The sequence below is a fragment of the Homo sapiens genome, chromosome 13, assembly GCF_000001405.40.
Source record: "Homo sapiens chromosome 13, GRCh38.p14 Primary Assembly".
Lineage (NCBI taxonomy): Eukaryota > Metazoa > Chordata > Mammalia > Primates > Hominidae > Homo > Homo sapiens.
Window position 1 is genome coordinate 36,210,961 of NC_000013.11, and position 22,635 is coordinate 36,233,595.

At 39.7% G+C, this 22,635-nt stretch overlaps 3 protein-coding genes across 10 annotated transcripts in view, besides 1 other annotated feature; all 3 read right to left on the reverse strand.

The window, feature by feature from the left end:
* The window catches only part of SOHLH2 (spermatogenesis and oogenesis specific basic helix-loop-helix 2), a 46,340-nt gene extending 42,744 nt beyond the window's left edge, over positions 1–3,596 (reverse strand). For both annotated transcript variants that reach the window (NM_017826.3, NM_001282147.2), the window contains exon 1: positions 3,519–3,596. In NM_017826.3, the coding sequence (NP_060296.2) occupies positions 3,519–3,566 (48 nt within the window). In that variant the 5' untranslated portion in view covers positions 3,567–3,596. The remainder of the gene's footprint in view (positions 1–3,518) is intronic.
* Positions 1–22,635, reverse strand: part of CCDC169-SOHLH2 (CCDC169-SOHLH2 readthrough) — a 129,598-nt gene that overhangs the window by 42,744 nt on the left and 64,219 nt on the right. The window contains exon 6 of the mRNA NM_001198910.2: positions 16,388–16,421. Coding sequence (NP_001185839.1) covers positions 16,388–16,421 — 34 coding nt within the window. The remainder of the gene's footprint in view (positions 1–16,387; positions 16,422–22,635) is intronic.
* Positions 358–558: a silencer, noted in NCBI's record as "peak2068 fragment used in MPRA reporter construct". NCBI's record gives its function as "represses an SCP1 promoter by STARR-seq MPRAs in K562 erythroleukemia cells {active_cell/tissue: K562}" and the evidence as "EXISTENCE:reporter gene assay evidence [ECO:0000049][PMID:32103011]".
* The window catches only part of CCDC169 (coiled-coil domain containing 169), a 75,811-nt gene continuing 64,219 nt past the window's right edge, over positions 11,044–22,635 (reverse strand). For 4 of the 7 annotated variants that reach the window (NM_001144984.3, NM_001144983.3, NM_001144982.3 and 1 more), the window contains one exon: positions 11,044–16,421. In NM_001144984.3, coding sequence (NP_001138456.1) covers positions 16,241–16,421 — 181 coding nt within the window. In that variant the 3' untranslated portion in view covers positions 11,044–16,240. Of the gene's footprint in view, positions 16,422–19,814; positions 20,333–22,635 lie in introns of those variants that run through there. The other 3 variants (NM_001144986.3, NM_001144985.3, NM_001144981.3) reach the window with 1 other exon arrangement.

Consider the following 22,635-nt stretch of genomic DNA (forward strand, 5'->3'; position numbering starts at 1 on the left):
TGTGAGCGCAGATTGTTTGCGAATCTCCACCATAGCATGTGATTTCTTCTATGCAAATATATTCTTTGTGAACCCAAAGCCAAACAATGAAACAGTCATTAACAAGTGATCACAACAGGAGCAATTATAGTTTTGTTTTTTAATTAACCTGATTAATTGAAGCGAATATGAATGCCCAAAAATAACCTATCTAATACGATCAGGGTGTATGGCCATATAATTGATCTTCCAAACTGAGGCTCTTTTGAGAATGAAAGGAGGTGCCATTAATAATTACACTAAAATAACACATATAAACTAGGGTGTCCTGGGATATAGTTTGTAAAACTTTCTATTAGTAAGGTTTATTTTTTCTTTTAAAATATCCTGCCACTTTATGTCTCTGCTTAAATATGCTTGATGTTTATTCTCTCCATAGATATTTATTGAGCCCTTACTATAGGGCAGACACAGGGCTGGGCGCTAGGAGCACAAGGTGAACAAACAAGACAAGGTCCTTGCCCTCATGGGGCTTACATTCTAATAGCCCTTTTCTCTGCTGATAAGAAAGCATGGCATTCAATCCTTGGAATATAGGAAGAATAGAGTATGACCAGTTCTACTAAGGGTGTTATCTTTTTTCAACAGCTTGATGCAGTGGGAAGGGAGCAAAGCCATTTGAGGCAGACAGACCACAGTCCTGTCACTTAGTTCAACTATTTACCAGTGGCTTTGAATAAGACACTTAAGTGACCCTCGTCTGAAGGATCAAAATGCTTACGTTGCAAGAATGTTATGAGAAGTGTTTGTATAGTGCCCTGCAGGTGGTAGTTATTGCCATGTTTTTGCAAGTAATACCGAACTGAGCACAAAGAACACAGAAAACGTCAAATCAACCTAGCAGGGGAAGGACCAGGGGAGAGAGGAAAATGTGTCCATGCTGGGCTCTGCACTGTTTGAATCACAGTGCTCAGGAAACAGGGCCTCCTGCAGAGCATAAGCTTTAAAATAATAGAAATCAACTGCCTAGCTTGAGCCTTTCCCTAGCTAGCACATGGCATTCTGACTGCACTATCCTCCCCTTAGAGGCTCAGTTCCAGTGTCCCCAGAATCTCTCGGCCTTTTGGGGGGAAAAAAAGTCAAGAAAGAGTTATGAAGGGCAGAACATGCATAGTGGGAAGTCGGGAGAAATCTGAGGGTAGGTAGGAAGATGATCTGGAAAGGGATGAGGAGAAACAAGCACCACTAACCCACCGTTCTGTGCAGGAGTCTGAAGTTTTTGCATAGCATCTTGCACCATGGCACAGAGCGGGTATGACATAAAGCAGCTCTGGAAAGAACTGATTTGCTCTTTTGCCAAATGCTTCTTTCTCTGCTTTACAAAATCAGTGCCATAGCACACTTGGAATGTTAATGGACAAATCAGAACACTGCTCAAGTCCACTATCCCAGTTCCATAACTCAAATTAACAGAATAGTTTATAATCAACATAAATCTGAATATTTATTTAGTTTAAAATATGTTGTTGACAATGTAATATGAACACAGGCGATAAAAAAGATCTATTGACAAAAAGAAAAAGGAATAAATGTTTCTAGTATATTCTGCTTGGAAAACTGCCTTTTAGTACATCTAAGATTTTCACCTGCAAGCAGTAATCTGAACCAGTGTTAGGCTTCGTTTGATGAAATATCTTTTTCTGTTTGAATTGCTTACTACACCTTTGTAAACGAAAGTAACATGTATTCACTGGGAAACACTAAAAAATTCAAAAAAGAAAATAAAGTGTAATTCCACCACTCAGGGTAAGCCCTATTAACACCTTGGTACATACCCTTTAAGTGTGGGTGGTTTTAATAACACGACATCATTGTCACCAAGACACTTCATCCACTGTTTCATTTCTGTGATCACAGTAACATGCAGGGCACTCTAGTCTCTACAATTTTTAAAACACTGGATTTCCATTTGCAATCTGTGGCAGGCTAAACCCTTAATTAGTAACAGCAGGTGCTGAAGTGCTTAAAGCAAATCACTCCTACATTTTAGTGAGTTGTTATTTATGTCACTCTTATCACCAGGAGCAGAGCAGCCCACAATCAGCAGCAGCTGCAGGGCTGAGGCTCTCATGGGGCAATTGCGGGCCTTCAGTTTCCTCAGGAGTCAAGGGATTTAAACAGCTCTATCTGGAGAAACTGAGCAAGCGGCTTTTCTCACAAAGGCACACAAAGGGGTCAGTTGGGGCTTCACACTCTCTTAAGGGGAGGAAACCACAATTATTTATGTTCTACTAGATAATCAGATATTTCATTCAGAATTCATTTTGTGCAGCTTTGCCTAATCCTGCACCATAAAATACTATTTTTCCTTAGAGTTTAAATAGGTTCCTCTATCTTGAAAAATTAAGAAAACCTGTTAAACGGGTCCACTTCAAAGTGATCCTAATTCCATTTCAGAAAGCTTGCTCTTAAGAAGAGATGAAATTAAGTTTGCAGAGCATTCTAAGAGGTAATAAGACTACACTCAGCACAAAAGATTGCTCTCTCCTATTTATCAAGATGCGGAAAATACTAAGATGAAAGCCCCCCTCCCCAGCTGGCCTTGCTTTCTGGCGTGGGGAGGTTTCGCCTACGCTTTCCTCCTAGTGGGGTAATCATCACCTTTCACTTTTATCGAAAACAGTTACAAAAGTGATTTTGTGCTTTGCTAAAGGGGCTGAAAAATAAGGTGCTTTCAAGAGAGGCCAGCGGGCTTTTTGATTTCCATGGAGGTGGCAAATGCGTGCAGAGCAGGTCCCGTTCCCACCACGGCTTTGGTTCCACACAAAGTTGCCTGTTTGGGGGGAAGCTCCACGAAGGACACTTTGGGATGCCACGCCAGTGCCCAAACTGAAAATAAGCATGCCCAGCTGTGCAGAGACGGGAATGCAGGAAAATAACGCGCCTAAATAAACTTTCTTATATTAAAAATAAAAATCATCGTTCACATTTTTGTCCAGCCACCAGCCCCAGAGTGCCTACTAAATTGTGTTTCTAGGTAGCTAACTTCACAAGTGGCCTTCTGCTCGAAAAATAAGTTGGGGAAACGTCAAGGGCTAAGATTTTTTTTTTTTTTTTTTAGTTGGAGAATTCACATTTATTGAGTAATTGATGTGATGCAATCTGCAATTTTTGGATTCAAGATAATTTTCACTGAACATTTCATCAGTTAATGGGTTTTCTTTATAACACGATTCAGTTCTCTTTCTTCCTTGGCCTCCTCTCCCGAGATAAATCAGCCCCGTCCCCCAACCTCAGGCCCCAAGGGCCTGGTGGCACCCGGGGGCACCCTCAGAAGCCGGGTCGGCGCTTCCCCAGCTCGGGGCGCCGGGGGAGAGTGGACTCGCGTCCTGGAAGGGGCCCTTCCTGCTATTCGCTCCCCACAGTTCCCCGACAATGAGAGCTCCCCAGGCCGGGCTTTGAGGGCCGAGGGGACCACCGACCTAGGGCCCGCCCGCGAGGTTATAAACGCAGCTGCCTCCCCTTCCACAGCCTCTTACCTGGCCCGAGATCTGGCAGTGCTCCTGGCAGATAATTGAGGAAGCCATGGCCGCTGCGCACGTGCTGGGTCCTGGGGCAGCCTCCCAGCAGGAGGAGCTCCACAGCCGCTGCGTCCCGGGCCCGCCCCCTGCACTAATGGCTCCTGGCCGCAGCTGAGGGCGAGCACGCCCCAGGCGCCCTTAAAGTGGCCCTGTCGCCAGTTCTGGCGCGTGGGGGAGCAGCAGGCCGCTCTGAGGGGTCAACGCGGAACCCGGGTCGGGGGCCTGCCCGCGGGGGCTACTCAAGCTGTCCTGGGGGCCCTTAGGAGACCGCGTCACTAGCTGACTGCGCACTCCAAGTCCCCTTCCCAGGGCAGCTCTCACGACACTAAGCCCCGCGTACTCACTCCCACTGCGCCGCCTGGGGAGGCGGGAGGCAAGGCGTCATCTCAAGATGGTCTAAAAATTTTAAGAAGTCTTTTCTTACGGGCAGTCTTTCCAGTTTAAATGTTAGGAATTAGCAAACACTTGGGTTTGTTTTGCTCTTTTCTAAACAAACATAAACAGAGGATAGGAAAGGCGAGTACTTCTATGGTGATTTCTTTCCAAACCACTAAGAAATTTAAAATGTTAGGCCGGGCGCGGTGGCTCACGCCTGTTAATCCTAGCACTTTGGGAGGCCAAGGCGGGTGGATCACTTGAGCTCAGGAGTTCGAGACCAGCCAAGCCAACATGGTGAAAACCCGTCTCTACTAAAAATACAAAAATTAGCCAGGCATGGTGATGGGAGCCTGTAATCCCAGCTATCTGGGAGGCTGAGGCACAAGAATCGCTTGAACCCGGAAGGCGGAGGTTGCAGTGAGCCAAGATCGCCCACTGCACTCCAGCCTGGGCGACGGGGCGTGATTTCGTCTCAAAAAAAAAAATTAAAAATATTAGAAACACTTCATTTTTGTGCCGTGATTTAACAAATACTGTCCCTATTTTCTCAACGGAAACAATGAGGCGATAAAATTTTCTCGTGACTGCTGCTATGTAAACTCCTCTACTCAACCTTCACTGAACATTTTACTGAGACCTATTGGGCGTCAGACCCGCGGAGGATCCTTCCTCGGATGTGTCTTGACTACTGTGCCATGATTTTTCACTGCTGTAAGTGTGGTGGTTATTGTGGATGACTGCAGACTCTGGATCTCACTAGAGCATATAACACAGAGGAGCTCTCCGGGGAACCATCTCTGCAGGCGGTCCCTGGGCAAGTCTCCTGGTTCCTGAGCAGCTGGTGCTGTGTCCTGGGGGTCCGATTTAGATCCCGGGGGCATGCAAAAATACAGCTGTGATACTCTACAGTTCTGATGGGAAGAAAAGGAGCAGATGAACTTCTGATGGGATCATTCTGCATTACTTTTGGAAGTGTACACGTCTTAATAGAGTGTAATAAATTTCACTTCTATTGCTTTTCCAATTAATCAGGAACTGACAGTATCCACATCAATATCTGTGCGGGAAGTGGTTTGCTCACCAATGTAAGACAGAGGTGAAGTCCTTCCCAGGCATTGGTGTAGGGTGTGAATTGAGGCAGCTTTGAGCATTTCGTCCTGAATGCGCAAGCACCAGATTTCCATTGCTCCAGAGGTCTAGACTAGCAAGTCTAACTCTAATAGACAAAGACAATGTTGAAAGAGAAACGGACTCATTTGCTTTTAAGTAAAAAAAAAAGCCCCTAAGATTATGTGAGAGGAAGTCATCACTACTGTGTTGAAGGAAGAAAAAAAAGATAATAAACTTCTCCTGTATCTAGAATATGAGTCCAAGCTTCCTAAGAACTAACTTAGATATTTTTGTTTCCAATCTCCTTTAAAAAAAAAAAAAAAAAAAAAAAAAAGGTCAGGTGTAGTGGTGGCTCGTGTCCATAATTCCAGCACTTTGGGAGGCCGAGGTGAGATCACTTGAGGTCACTAGTTCCTGAGAGCCAGGACACCCCTGTCTCTACAAAAACTAAAAAAAATTAGCCTGGCGTGGTGGCACACACTTGTGGTCCCAGCTACTCCAGAGGCTGTGGTGCGAGGATTGCCTGAGCTTGGGAGTTTGAGGCTGCAATGATCTGTGATTACACCACTGCTCTCCAGGCTGGGGAACAGAGGGAGACCCTGTCTCGCAAAAACAAACAAACAAACAAACAAAAAACTTTCTTTGTAAATGAACAGACATCTACTCTAAAACAACATCTCTTCCCAGGGAAGATTTTGCCCTCCAAGGGACATTTGGCAATGCCTGAAGACGTTTTTCATTATCATCACTGGTGGTGCACTAGCTTCTAGCCAGTAGAGTTCAGGGACGCTGCTAAACATCCTACAATGCCCAGGACAGCGCTCTACAACAGAGAATTATGTGGCCCAAAATGGCATTCGTGCTGAGGTTGAGAAACCCTACTATTAATATAACCCCTCCAAATTATAACATAGAGTGTAAGCCATTTAATTTCTTTGGCATCTTTCACATTCTTGAATCTTGTGTAGTGGAAAGGAAAAGATGACGTTTGGAGGAAAGGAAGAAATATTACACACACCAAAATGGCAAACTCAGTATTTCAAAGCCAGAACTGGTGTAAATTGTGTTGCTGGTTGCATGGGGAAAAGGAAAGGTCAGTTTTAATCGTGTCCTTTCCCTATTTGAAAACGTACAAGGGTTTCTCTGCTTATTACAATTAAGTCCCATTCCTCTGTGTGGCATTAGGGCCACATTACCTTGTCCCATTCTGGCTTTCTAGACTTACCTTCAAATCAAGTGACTAGATTAGTTTCTATTCCCTAATAGTGTCCTGAGGTCCCCCCAAGAGTCCCCAGTATAAGATTTGCACAAGCAGATAGAGTAACTTCTTTCTTTGGAATTGTAGTATTGATAGGATAAGTCATCTGAAGCCTAGAGGAGCCCCAAGCTGCCTTAAAGAATAGCACTTGCCATCACAACAGTGTAAGCACAGTTTATTGGTTTGGGAACTGCCCTGAATCTAGGTTCTGATCCTTCCCAGCTGCTAATTCACTTATTTGATTCTGAGCTCTGCCTGAAAAACATTTCCTGTCCCATTATCCCTGCATCAAAGAGGCTTCCACTTCTGCTGCGTGCATGCCTTCTTTCTGCCTCTCCCTCAGTCCTCCTAACCTGAAAGCACAGTTCTGACACCTGCGTTGTCTGAGGTTTAGCACACCTGCTTACCCCTGAATGTTATACTTGTGCTTGCTTGGGTTTCTCCCACACAACAGGCTGACTCACACTTTTGTTCTGTGGTTAGTCTGAGAAGACAACGAAAAATTTTCAAAGTAGTACTAATTCCATCTGCTAAAGATTTAATATTGATGTCCCCCCAAAATTCATATTTGAAATCTAGCCCCCAGGTAATAGTATTAAGAGGTGGGATCTTTGGAAGGTAATAGGTCATGGGGGAGGAGCCCTCATAAACTGGATTAGTGCCCTTGTAAAAGAAGCCCGCGAGAGATCCCTCACCCCTTCTACCACGTGAGGACACAGTGAGAAGATGCCATCTATGAACCAGGAAGTGGGCCTTCCCCAGATATTGAATCTGCTGCTGCCTTGATCTTGGACTTCACAGCCTCCAGAACTGTGAGAATAAATTTCTGTTGTTTGTAAGCCACCCAGTATGTATTTTGTTATAGCACTTTAAATAGACTAACACTGTCTCACACCTCTGCTCAACAATTATGACTTGATTTTAGCAGCATGGTAAGGCGGAGACTGTTTATTAGATTTCATATCCTAGTATTTAGTATACATACAGAAGGTGATAATAAATACATGTTTTTCCCAATGAGTTTAGAACCACTGCCCTTAGGTAGTAACACAGGTCAAAGAATAGTGCCAACTTCTAATGATGCCCTGCGTTAGATTGCAATAAGACTTGACAGTTTTCTCATCATTCAGTATGTTCACTTTTTAAAACCGGATTTAGTTCTACTAAATCTGCCTCATTTTAATCACAAGTCTTTGCTAGGAAATGTAGAGCTAAACCAAAGTAACACTATAACCATGGAGGAGGGACTGTGTCACACAAAGTCCACAGTGGGCCTGTGCGATCCCACATTGATTCATTTTGAGTGCATCCCCCCATGGTAGTCATTGGTTATAGCTCTATGGTCTGAGGAGATCACAAAGTTACAAATGAACTCTTTTACCTTTAGCCACAGTGACAGCCAACTGCAGCTGTATGAAGTCATGAGGAATTTCTTTAGCACAAAAATGTCAGGCCACCTTCAAGGAGAGAAGCTTCTTGTTTGTAAAGGTGAGGGATAAGCGGGAGTGGAAAAAATGTCATTCACACTTTACTCGTGAATATGTTCATGTATACTAATATGGTTTAAAAGTCAGCTGAGAGGCCTGGTATAGGTGGCTCACACTTGTAATCCAAACACTTTGGGAGTCCGAGCCAGGAGGAATGCTTGAGGCCAGGAGTTCAAGACTAGCCTGGGCAACACGGCAAAATATCATTTCTACCAAAAATTTTAAAAAAAAAAAATTAGGTGTGGTGGCACACACCTGAGAGGCTGAGCCCAGGAATTTGAGGCTGCAGTGAGCTATGATCATGCAACTGCACTCAATCCTGGGAAACAGAGCAAGACCTTGTCTCAAAAAAAAAAAAAAAAGTTATCTGAAGTAATTTTAATTTTTTTATTTTGAAAATTTCATACATACCCGAGTATATTTATTACATATGTATTATTTAAAGTATAATAATATGGATGTGTATGTACCTACCACTCAGCCTAACAGACACTATCAATAATTTTAAAATACCTTATGTGTGTCTCTCATTCACATTTCCCTGTCTCCCCAGATATAAATACTATTTTGTTATTTATTTAGTTTTACTTCTTTTCACTGCTGAAGCCAGAATGGATTGTGATGTGTGAGAGAAAGAAATCTTTGTGTTAAGCCTCTAAAGTCTGAGTTATTTTTTATAGTCATAATAGAGAGATTAATAACTTGAATTTAGGTGCTGCCTAAACAAAATACTAATATGTGTGGCATTAACTTAGCAGGTCTGCAGTGAGAGGCACAGAAAGAAATATGGGAGGTTGGAAGCCTGGGATCCCTGTTATGCCATAGCAGACCAAGTGCTTACTAAGACTGTAGGTCAAAGGAAGGATGTTGGGAAAACAACGAATAATAATGTGTTGATATGGTTTGGCTATGTCCCTACCCAAATCTCATCTTGAATTGTAGTTCCCATAATCCCCACATGTCTGGGAGGGACCTAGTGGGGAGTAAATGAATCATATTGGAGGTTACCCCCATGCTGCTGTTCTCATGATAAGAGTGAGTGAGTTCTCATAAGAACTGACAGTTATATAAGGGGCTTTTCCCACTTTTGCTTGGCACTTTTCTTTCTTGCTGCCATGTGAAGAAGGACGTGTTTGCTTCCCCTTCTGCCATGATTTTAAGTTTTCAGAGGCCTCCCCAGCCATGCTGGAACTGTGAGTCAATTAAACCTCTTTCCTTTATAAATTACCCAGTCTCAGGTATGTCTTTATTAGCAGCATGAGAATGGACTACTAAATGTGTACTAAATGTTACTGGCTGCCTTTGGTAAGAGAGAATAAATTGATGAGCTTGCAATATAGCTAACTAGTTTGTAAGGAGAAATAAAAGGGAATAGAGAGAGTCTAGGAAAGAATCTAGAAATTTGGGGCATTGAAGGGCATTAAAGAGTTGGAAAGGCCAACTATTTCTAGGTCCCAAAAAGAAAGAGATAAGGCTGAGAAAAGTCAAGCCACAAAAGGCCACTAATACTCAGCCTTGTGGCAAGGATCAGATTATGGATAGGTGTTAACTTCACATCACCTTAATCAATTAGTTAAATAACCTGCATGGTAGCTGCCATTAGGCAGAGAGAGGTATGGGCCAAAGAAACAAATCATGCTCTGAAATTATATTATACATAGAACTGGCTACTATTTTGATGGAATTTATATAAACTAGGACTAAAAAGCCTTTGAACTGTAAAATCAGCTTTAGACACCCAATTTTGTTCAAACAGATTATGAGCTCTGAAAGCTATGCATCCCCAATAGAGGGCATAACCTCATCATCCACTTCGAATGTGGGCAAGAAGATGAAAAAGGAAGAAACTCCCACGGACTGGAGCCAGTGGCTACTAAGAAAAAATGGACAAGAACATTCCTCCCAAGAGCAGAGTCAGAGCCCAAGAAAGGAACCGACCCCATTCCCAGTGAAGAGGGCTTTCACCATATCTTCCCAATGGGATTTTATAAATGCTGTGGATGAGTGATGCTGTGCGTTCTTCCTCATCTGAGCAAAGGTTATTATGGGCATCCTTCCATGCTCACACACTGACTGCTACATTCCACAGTTGTTTGGGCCCAGCAAGTATTTGCCTATCAGATTTTACAGTATTTGTACTAAGGCTTGAAAGAACAGCATCCTAGAAAGACATTGATGGAAATGCAAAAAGATTGTTTAGTTAAAAAAAATCATTGTTTTAGTTATGTTCAGCAGACTTGAAAATATACCAAGTTAGAATCAATTTTAAAATACCAATTGAGATTCAAGAACCTGATTCAGTGATGCAGCAGGCCAGGAGCCATCACCATCAATGAATAGCTCAATTTCTCTCTCATGTAGTTGCCAAGAAAGATATTATCTACTGAAGAAAACCTAAATACCTGTAAGTCTTACTAAAAATATTGTTTGATACAAGTGAGCATAGGCTGACTGCTTCAACCAGTAAAACCTAAATCTCAGTGTCTTAATACACACAGAAACATACAAAAGGATTTCCTTTTCTCTCACATAAAAACCAAATGAGGATTAACAAAGTGAGAGGAATGGATGTGCTACATGAAGTGATTCGGGGACCCAATTTTCTTCTACCTTGTGGATCTGCTATCCCTGAGGCCTTGGAATTTGCTTTTAGACCCTCTATATCCACCCATAACACAATTTTTTTTTAAAGAAAAAGCACAAACAAGAAGGATCACCTGGGACGTTTTAATGGGCTAGTCACAGAAACGACATGTATCACTTATGTCTAGGTTATATTGGCCTGAAGTCAGTCGCAGGGTCACACCTAAGTGCACACAGTGTTTCACACGCCTATCTCTAAACACAGTAGCATACATACCACACACTACCAAACAGTGTTTCATGCATATATCACTAAGCAAAGAAGTATGTGTGCATCATCACACACTGGCAAACAAAGTGTTTAACACATACACTTTGTTATGTATGTGTAGCCTAGTTCTGTGTCCCATAGAAAAAGCCTAGTTCTGTGTCCCATAGAAAAAGAAAACAGTTTGGTGAGTGCATAGCAACAGTTTTTGCCACAGTCCATCAATTTGATCACCAAATAAATAGCTTTTGCTCTTTCTTCCCAGAATATACTTACCTCCTTGCCAAGGTAAGACAAAGCCCCATCCAGTCATTTTATCCAGTGCAAATTTCATTGATTAAGGTGAGAAAAATATATTTAGGTGATAACATAAAAAAAAGTTACAGATGCATAGCAAAATGGATTTTTATATTAGATTTTAAAATATTTTCTTTGCTTTTATTTTAATGCTTTATCCTTTACTTCTGGCTTTGAGAGTAACAGGGGAAAGATTTAGCTTCTTACTGTGAAGAAACAGAAAATTAGTCAAAAATATATGAAACAACTGCAGATATTGACATGCACCTTAAGACTATGACCCCTGAGAGGAATGAAGTGAGGCCCATCCATCATTCTAGATTTCTACCTGCAGGCACAGACCTCAGAGCAGGGTAGGGGATCCCAAACAAAGCATGGTGGTTTCATGTAGTTGAGAAGACAGAGGCTGGAGTTCAGGGAGGCTGAAGTGGCTGAAGTTGCAGAGCAGAGTACCAGAGAGCTAACAGATATGTAAAAACAGAATTCCAGAAATCTGCATAGGAGCCCCTTGAGAGGTGGCTGGATATTAAGACATGTAAGCCTAGAGCAAAACTCTACGAGGTCAAGCAGAGTGCCACACAGGCCTGTGAGGCATCTGAGGTCCAACTAGCCAGTGTTGAGTGTCCCAGCTGATCACTCACAGAATTTTCTAGTGATCCCACAATAGCTATGCCTTAGAAATGGTGTTAAACTCTCTGTGGGGTGAAGCTCACTCTATACTTACCCTAACAAAGGCTTGAAAAGAAGAAACTGAACTGCAATTAATTTAACTGCCTATAAGAATAAATCTATAACCAACAATGTGAAATCATCAATGCCTGGCATCTAATATAAAATTAGTAGATATTACAAGAAGCAGAAAATGAAACCCGAAACCAGGAGAAAAATCAGTCACCAGAAACAGACTGAGAAATGAAAAAGATACTGTGTAAGTATGCTAAAAGTCATTATATGCCTATCCAATTACTTAAAGGAAAACATAAATACAGTGACAGAAGATATAAAAAAAGAACCAAAAGGAACAATATCAAGTGGTTTACAACAGGCTGTAATTAAAGTCCCAGGAGGACAGGAAAGGGCAGAAAAATAATACAAAAATGGCCCAAAATTTTCCACATTTGATGAAAACTACAGATATAAGCTCATTGAACACCATGCAATATAAACACAAAACCACCCTAATAAAACTGATTTTGTTAGTTATTAGCTAATGGCAAAACGTTTTTGAAAGCTCATATTTATAGTCTATATGTATACAACCTATATGGTATAATCAACATATATTTTATGGAGTTATTTTTGTCTCATGTTTTGTTGTGTGATAAATGAGCAGGGAATTACAGAATGTTAGTATCAGAAGGCACACTGACAGCAATCAAATACACACCTCCACCACTGCAGGAATCCTTCGTATACTATTCCTGAGGAATGGTCACCTAATCTCTGCTTAAGCAATTTCAACGATGATAAACTTACGACTGGGTAGTTCTCCAGATAGTAATATTTTCTGTATTTCTGTAGCTGAGTTGGCAAATTGCTTTAATAAAGTTAAATGAACTCTACAAATTCAAGATTTTTCTAATTCATAGTCAGATTAATTGAATGTTAACCTGTAAAAATAATGCCCTACTGTCAAATATATGATATGAGCTCATATTTATGTAGTGCTTTATTATCTTAAAGGTACTTTTTCATAATTCAATTATATGTAGTGATTTCAATACCAGTTTTCAATATTCTGGTATACTCTGCCCTTTTTAAATACCAAAATCCCAGCACTGTTGTTACAGTTTGGTTATTCTGATATTTAAAATCAACAATCTAAATTTTTTAAATATTAAATTAGTATCTATAACTCAATTACCTAATTTATGAACAAAATTAATACAATGTACATAGTATAGAAGTCTAGACAGGTCCTCACCTGTGCACACAGCAAAAAGCAATCAAATAGTGTTACTGATAAGCTTCTGTTGCAAGAATAATTCTTAGTTCCAAATAAGTAATTTCTTATCCAGTAGAATATGAAAATAATAGTACTAAAATTGATATAGGTAACTCTGCTTTGGAATCTCCTATACATGCTAAAACTAATTCAGATGAAGAAAAGGTAGGAATAATTTATTTGAAATCAATACTATATAGCTCTTTATAAATTTTTTAAAAATCCAGCCCCAGTCAAAAATCAAAAGGTGTTTTATAAATATCTCCACAAGGTCATTAAGTAAAAAAATTGGATTATTTAAATTTAAATAAGTCAAAGGAAAATATTGGGAATTAGCATGTAATGCTCTCATCATTATTGTTTTGACATCTTGGTTGGAAAATTCTCCCCAAAATAGCTATTTTCTATTCAACATAGTACTGGAAGTGCTAGCCAGAGCAATCAGACAAGAGAAAGAAAAAAAAAAGGCATCTACATATGAAAAGAATTCAAACTATCTCTCTTCAAGGATAATATGACCCTATACATAGAAAACCCTACAGACTCTGCCAAAAGGGTCCTGGAATTGATAAACAACTTCGGTAAAGTTTCAGGATACAAAATCAATGTACAAAAAATCAATAACATTTCTATACACCAACAACATTCAAGCTAAGAGCCAAATCGAGAATGCAATCCAATCTACAATAGCCACATACACAAAGACATACACAAAAACCCCTAGGAATATATCTAACCAAGGAGGTGAAAGATCTCTATAAGGAGAACTATAAAACACCACCAAAAGAAATCAGACAACATAAACAAATGGTAAAACATTCCATATTCATGGGGTGGAAGAATCAATATTGTTAAAATAGTCATACTGCCCAAAGCAATCTACAGATTCAATGCTATTCCTATCAAACTACTAACATCATTTTTCACAGAACTAGAAAAACTATTCTAAAATTCATGTGGAAGTAAAAAGGAGCCCGAATAGCCAGAGCAATCTTAATCAAAAAGGAAAAAGCCAGTGGCAACACATTACCAGACTTCAAACTATACTGTAAAGCTACAGTAATCAAAACAGCATGGTACTGGCACAAAAACAGACACAGAGACCAATGGAACAGAATAAAGAACCCAGGAAAAAAAAGCCACATACCTACAGCCATCTGATCTTCAACAGTCAACAAAAATAGGCAATAAGGAAAGGACTCCCTATTCAACAAATGGTGCTGGAATAGCTGGCTAGCCATATACAGAAGGATGAAACTGGACCCCTACCTTTCACCATATGCAAAAATTACCTCAAGATGAATTAAAGATTTAAATGTAAGCCCTCAAACTATAAGAATCCTAGAAGAAACCTAGGAAACACTTTTTTTTTTTTTGAGACAGGGTTTCATTCAGTTGCCTAGCCTTAAGTGTAGTGGCATGATCACAGCTCACTGCAGCCTTGACTTGCCAGGCTCAAGTGATCCTCCCACCTCAGCCTCCCAAGCAGCTGAGACCATAGGCATGCACCACCATGCCTGGCTAATTTTTTACTTTTTGTAGAGATGGCAGTCTCACTATGTTGCCCAGGCTGGTCTCAAACTCCTGGGCTCAAGCAATCCTCATGCCTTGGCCTTCCAAAGTGTTGGGATTACAGGCATGAACTACTAGGCCTGGCCCCTGGAAACACCATTCTGGATGTCGGCCTTGCAAAAGAATTTATGAGTAAGTCGCAAAAGCAATTGCAACCAAAACAAAAACTGACAAATGGGACCTAATTAAAGAGCTTATGCACAGCAAAAGAAACTAGCGATGGAGTAAACAGAAAACCTACAGAATGGGAGAAAATATCCATGAACTATGCATCTGACAAAGGTCTAATATCCAGAAACTGTAAGAAACTGAAACAACTCAGCAAGCAAAAAATAACCCCATTAAAAAAAATGGGCAAAAGACACGAACAGACACTTATCAAAAGAAGACATACAAGTGGCCAACAAACATGAAAAAAATGCTCTACATCACTAATCATCAGAGAAATGCAAATCAAAACCACCATAAGATGCCATCTAACACCAGTCTGAATGGCTATTATTGAAAAGTAAAAAAGCAACAGATGCTGGTGAGACTGTGGAGAAAAGGGAACACTTAGACACTGTTGGTGGGAATGTGAATTAGTTCAGCCACTGTGGAAAGCAGTCTGAAGATTTCTTAAAGAACTTAAAACTACCATTTGACCCAGCAATCTTATTACTGGGTATATATCCAAAAAAACACAAATCTTTCTACTAAAAAGACAGATGCACTTGCATGTTCATCGCAGCACTATTCACAATAGTAAAGATACAGAATCAGCCTAGGTGCCCATCAACAGTGGACTGAGTAAAGAAAATGTGCTACATATACACCAGCAGTTCCCAACCCTTTTGACACCAAGGGCTGGTTTCATGGAAAACAATTTTTCCACGGACTGTATTTTGGGGAGGGGATGGTTTTGGGATGAAACTGTTTCAGATTAATCATTAGTTAAATTCTCATCTGGCATTAGAGTCTCATAAGGAGTATGCAACCTAGATCCTCCACATGCACAATTCACAAGAGTTCGTGCTCCTATGAGGATTTAATGCTGCTGCTGATCTGACAGGAGGTGGAGTTCAGGTGGTAATGCTTGCTCACCTGCAGCTCACCTCCTGCTGGGCAGCCCAATTCCTAACAGGCCATGGATGGGTAACAGTCCACGGCCAGAGGCTGGGGACTCCTGATACACACCATGGAATACTACACAGTCATAAAAGAAATGAAATCATGTCCTTTGTAACAATATGGATGCAGCTGGAGGCCATTTTCCTATGCAAATTAACACAGAAGCAGGAAACCAAATACTGCATGTTCTCGCTTACAAGTGATAGCCAAACACTGGGTACTCATGGACATAAAGACAGCAACAATAGACACTGGGGACCACTAGAGGGTGGAGGAAGAAAGGAGAGCAAACATTGACAAATAACTTTCGGCTACTATGCTCAGTCCCTGGGTGATGGGATTATTTGTGCCCCAAATCTCAGCATTATACAATATACCACGATAGCAAACCTGCACAGGTACCTCTGAATCTAAAATAAAAATTGAAATAAATAACAACGAAGAAAAAATAAAATCCTTATCTCTCACTGTAAAAAAGTAAAAATAAAAAGACCAAGGTGAAGTCAGCTCGAGGAGAGTTGGAAGAAGTTTCATTCAGTTTGAGAGATGAAGCCACACTAAACCAGCAGAGTGGGTCCCAATCTTTTCTGTACAATTTCCTGGGGGAGGCTTAAAGAAATACATGTGAGATCACAATCCTGGGGGTGGTGCACATGTCTGAGTATTTTACTTTTAGCTCTTCAGGTGAGTCTGACACACAGCCAAGGTTGAGGACCCATGTAAGCAGGCGGGCCAGAGTGCTTTTTGTCCGAGGCATGTCCTATTCTCTGGTCCAGCCACACCTGCAGCACTGAAACCCAATGTCTCCAAGCAGCTGACCTTTAAAGGGTCCAATTCTTCTTTTAAGAGGAGGCTGTTTGAAGAGATGTGAATAGAACATGAATAAGGACAGCGAAGGTACAAATATGCTAATAAAGCAGATATTCCAACCAGTTTATTGTATTTTTACACACACACACACATATACACAAAAATAAATAAATAAATAAAAGCTCTATACCCAGTGATAGCACTAGTGATGATGCACTTTTGTATTTTTAGGATCATATTATTGAGAAAGATCAAATAATATTTCATTAACATTTATCTACTAATATTAAAATGTTAATGTATATTTAACATTTTTACAACAACTTTACTGAGGTATAAATCACAAAACATACAATTAACCCACTTAGAGTATACAATAGTTTTCATTAGTTTCACAGAGTTGTGCAACTGTCACTGCAATCAATTTTAGAACATTTTCATCCCTCCAAAAAAGAATCCTGTACCTATTAGCAGTCATTCTCCATCACCGACCTTCCCCCAACCCTCAGCAACTATTGATCTATTTTCTGTCTCTATGGATTTGCCTATTTGGGACATTTCATATAAATGGAATTATGCAATATATGGTCTTTTGTTATTCCATTATTTCACTTAGGATAATGTTTCCAAGGTTTACCCATGTTGCAGCATATATCAGCATTTCATTCCTTTCTACTGCCAAATAATATCCATTGTTGGAATATACTACATTTTATTTACCCAATCATCAGCTGATGAACATTTGAGTTGTTTCGACTTCTTGACTATTTGAATAATGGTGCCACAAACCTTCCTGTACATGTTTTTACGTGGACATGGGTTTCCATTTTTCTTGGGCATATACCGAAGAGACTTGCTGTGTCATATAGTAACTCTATGTTTAACCTTTTGAGGAACTGACAGTTTTCCAAAGTGGCTGTATCACTTTATATCCCCACCAGCAACATATGAGGGTTCCAGGTTTTTCACACTCATGTCAATACTCATGATCTGTCTTTTTTATTATGGCAATATTTGTTTTTAAAAATGGTATGTCTTGATATTTTGTAATACATTTAGATATCTTAAATTTTTTAATATATATTGTTTTACTGATGGTTTTGCTTTATGAATTCTGAACTTTCCAATGAAAGAAAACAACTACTGAAGTCAATACATATTTGAGTATCAAAGACCCTAAACTGTCATTTTTGCTGTGGTTATTGCAACAAATAATTGGATTTTTTTTTCTTTTTCTTTGAGACAGGGTCTTACTCTGTTGCCCACGCTGGAGTGCAGTGGCTCATTGCAGCCTCAACCTCCTGGCCTGGCTCAAGTGATCCTCCCACCTCAGCCTTCTGAGTACTAGGCTACAGGCACGTGTCACCACAACTGGTTAATTTTTGTATTTTTTGTAGAGATGGAGTTTTGCCATGTTGCTCAGGCTGGTCTGGAACTCCTGGGCTCAAGCAATTCACCCGCCTCACCCTCCCAAAGTGACAGGGGGTGTGAGCCACCATGTCCAGCCAGTAATTGCATTTTCTTTATGACAAAATTATTTTCAGAGCTTAGAACTGGATAAAACTTTTTCTCTACTTGTATATTCCTTCTACAAAGGAAAGCAGTCATTGCTTCTTTGCACTGACTGGTAGAAAGCTTAAAACTAAAACTTTTCTTGGTTGGAAATTCTTGCTAAATTTTAATTTTTATTTTCATCTTTTATCTTGTAGGTATTTTTTGATACCTCTATATTAGTAAAAGCTAATTCACATCCCTTCTAGTGGGAAAGAGACTATAAAGAAGTAAAGAAATAAATATGTGGTAAGTACCCTTGATCTGCACAGCAATCTCAAGGCAGTAATTATAAAGGATAAAACTGAGGATATGAGAAGTTATTTACCAAAGTCAGAAGCTTATAAGTGGCAAAACTGGTATTAGAATACAGATCTTGGAGTCCCTCATTTCAGTTCTTTATACTCTCTCAACATTCCATCATTCTGTTTAATACAGACATTTTATGGTATCTGAAAAGTATCCCAAAGTAGCTCCTGCAGAACCAACACTTAAATGTAATAGAGTCCCTGTGATAAGATGTTCAACTGATATTTTATCCCAGTGATTGAGATAACTTTAAATGTTCCTCAATAGTCCCCACAATAGCTTAGCTCTGTAAGGAAAAAATGTGTTTATTTTTCATTGATAATTATAATTATTATAATAATGTTTTTTTTTTTTTTTGAGACAGAGTCTTGCTCTGTCTCCCAAGCTGGAGTGCAGTGGCATGATCTCAGTTCACTGCAACCTCTGCCTCCCGGGTTCAAGTGATTCTCATGCCCCAGCCTCCTGAGTAGCTGGGACTATAGGCATGCACAACCACTCCAGGCTAACTGTATTTTTTGTATTTTTAGTAGAGACAAGTTTTGCCATGTTGGCCAGGCTGGTCTCAAACTCCTGGACTCAAGTGATCTGCCTGCCTTGGCCTCCCAAAGTACTAGGATTACAGGTGTGAGCCACCACACCTGGCCTATAATTATTATTTAAATTATTAATTTTCTACTAATGCTGAGAAAGATGGTATAAGACATAAAAATCTAATGTTTGTCTAATGATATGGGTCAAGGCACCTAATATTAATAGTTAGCTAAAGAATAGGGGAAAATATTTACAAATAATTCCAATGTAGAATGATTTATAGAAAGTTACTTTATATTTTTCCACATTACATTTTAAAGTTACTTAAAATATTTTTGGCTACATGAAATTTATATATTCTTCCTTAAGGAAAGAAAATAAACTTTTATAGAAGAAGTTACAGAAATGCACTTGGTATTCATTACTGGTGATACATAATAGAATTTAGGTTTAGTGCCAGATATAGGGTGAGAACACCATTAGCTGGAAACTATACTTACCTCTAGGTGATTTCTATAAATCTGAAGTCCAATGATTTCACTTATTAAAGTGGACAAATAAGTTATATGTTCCGGACCTAGGTGACAGTTACAAAAACTATCTAAAAGACAAAAACAGTCTAACCATGAATGAGAGGATTCAATACATTTTATAAATGCCTCAAAAGAACTCTTTTCTTATCCTCATTCTATCTCCACATCTGGACTTGAGTATTGTGAACAATTGCAGTTTGGTCTAAAGAATTAGTCCATCACTATGAATTACCACACATCACAAAATGACTTAAATCACCAGTGTTAAGTAAGTGGTAGGACCTTATGATTGAATAAATATTGGTTTTCTAGAATTGTAAAAACCTCAGAAAGTGTATAGTTTTGCTTCAATCATTTTACAGGTGTGGGAAATAAACATGAGGTGAAGGGACTTGCCCAAGATCTCCTAAGTTCATGGCAGAGTGGAGACTACAAACAAGTTTATTTAAGATTGAAGGTTGTTCTACGATACCATAATATTTCAAGTCAAAACTTAAAATGGACTTGATTTTCGGCTTTGTTTAAACCTGCAATTTAAAAAACTGAGCAAGATCCAGCCCAAAATGGCAAAAAGGTTTTATGAATACACACTTTTTGCTAACAGTCAACTAGAAACCAAATAGAATAGCAACGTTACTATCAGAGCAGATCATGGGTATATTATTGAAAGCAAGTGTAATGATGCCAGCCTTCAGATTCCCTAGGATATTTTAAAACTCTCAAGCACTTCTATTACATAGTTTAGGGTCACTGGAGAAAATTACTTTTATGCAGACAAAGGAACACACGTCTGGAAAAGGAACTAAAGAAAAATGTGGCAGTTCTTATCTATTTTATTCCCTGAAGAAATGTGCTGACCATTAACTTTATAACTTGAATATTATAAATGGAAAAAAAAAGGAAGAAATAGAAATCCATCCAGTTCTGGAATCATGGATGGAGTTCTGGAAGATGGTTTGGTCTTGTAATCTTTTTTACTGGTCCTCTCTTGGCACTCACTGTCTTCTGCTTAGCTGGATTATATCTTCCACTGAAATAAATAAGTGTTAATCATAATTTTTCAGTCACCATTATGTACAACAAAAACATTATAGGCCACACAGGAAGAAATGTATATTGCACCTTGTTCCCCCCAACAGACCTTCACACGGAAACCTTCCTGTGAATAGTTTCTGCTTACAGTGCAAATCTTAGGCAGCCTTCTGTTATAGCACATCATCTCCACCGCTACAGAGGCATACAGCTTAAGGGCAGGTAATTCAAAGGCTGGAAGCAGCATGTCAGGTGCCCTAATGTGGAAAGTTCTGTCTAATGAGGATAAGACAGATCCGTGAATTCCTTTTCTTAGATTTCCATGAGATCCTTTTTCCATTAATGACTTATGTGGCACTAAAAAGCCAACCTTCCTTACACTCTGACTTGAGAGAGTTAAAGGCCACTTCAATTTCCTAAAAACTTTCTTAGGGGGTGATGGCAGCAAAATGACAGAGTCATTTAAAGTCTTTCTCTATTAAGTCTAACATCTGGACTTCCTCAGGGAAAGTGTTTATTTGTTGCTTTTTTTCTTGTATAAGAGCCATGTTTTCTTGTCTCTTCTCATATATTGTAATTTTGTTTTGAAAACTGGATGTTTTAAAATATGTAACATGTAAGAACTTGTCATTTTCTCCTCATTAAAATGAAGGATAAAATTCTCTCCTCCATAAAAGTGATGACAAATTGGCAATATGGTTAGAAGCAACTTTATCAAAACCCTGGAAATTAACGAAAGTGTTGCAACAATCCTGGAGAATTTATAAAATAACAACAACAGCAACAAACGGCTGAAACTTCGAACACTGAGCTTTGTAGCATTTTAACTTGCCCTATGCCTATCCACTGTTCCCCTGACTTTCATCCCCAGCTCCATGGTAGCCTTGAAAACCAACAGCGCACAATTGCAGTGAAAACTCAGTAGCCTGGTGGACACCATAAGAGGTGGAATAGGGTTGGAGATCCTTTAACACCTATTTCATTCCAAGAGGAATTTCATTATTTAAACAGTCTGGTGATTACTTGAAAGACCACTTACAAAGCTATCTTTATTTGACCTGACATGGAGATGGTCCAGTGTAAATAGCCTTTTCCCTAGGGGCATTTGCTGGAACAATAAGAAACCACTGTTTAATTTCAGAGCTGCCAGAGGTAGTAGATAACAATTGAGGCAAAAAATAGGCTAACCAGGAAGCTTAAAAGGAAAAGCTGAGAGGCCAGGCTCAGTGGCTCTCACCTGTAATCCCAGCACTTTGGGAGGCTAAGGGAGGCAGGTGGATCACTTGAGGCCAGGAGTTTGAGACCAGCCTGGCCAGTATGATGAAACCCCACTTGTACTAAGAATACAAAAAAAGATGAGCCGAGATTGCGCCACTGCAGTCCGCAGTCCGGCCTGGGCGACAGAGCGAGACTCCGTCTCAAAAAAAAAAAAGAATACAAAAAAAGAAAAAAAAATTAGCCAGGCATGGTGCTGCATGCCTATAATCTCAGCTAGTTGGGAGGCTGAGACATGAGAATCACTTGAGCCTGAGGCAGAGGTTGCAGTGAGCCGAGATCAGCCTAGGCAACAGAGTGAGACTCTGTCTCTAAAAAAAAGGAAAAGCTGAGAAATGAGTGTTAATAAGCTCCATTATATTTCTTGGAATCTAGAAGCCCATACACATGTGTAACTGTGGGTATGCATAGGACTGTGTGCATACTCAGGAAAGGCCTGAAAAGGCCCTAAGCTCTTGCCTCTGGCTGACCTTGAGGCTCTGCACAAGCAGGAAGTAAAGAATAAGGTAGAGTTGTAATTTGCCTGGCCGACTGTTGAAGGCATGCTCCAACACACACACACAGAGCCCATCAGCAAAGGCTAGGAGATTTATTGATGCTAGGCATTTAAATAAATCTGTTCAATCATTAGCTGACCCCTAAGCTAACTCAGCAGAGACTTCAGTGTCCACCCCAACAAAGAATACAGATTTTACATAATTATTTTAGAAAAGTCACTAAACAAGCAGCAGCAAAAACAGTGACAACAACAAACCCTGGGGAGGGGAAAGAAACTAATATACAGAGTGGCCATGTTACATATTTTAAAACATCCAGTTTTCAAAACAAAATTACAATATATGAGAAGAGACAAGAAAACATGGCTCTTATACAAGAAAAAAAGCAACAAATAAACACTTTCCCTGAGGAAGTCCAGATGTTAGACTTAATAGAGAAAGACTTTAAATCTACTATTTTAAAGAACTAAAGGAAATCATATCTATAGAGGAAATTATGAGAATGATGTCTCACCAAATCAAGAATACT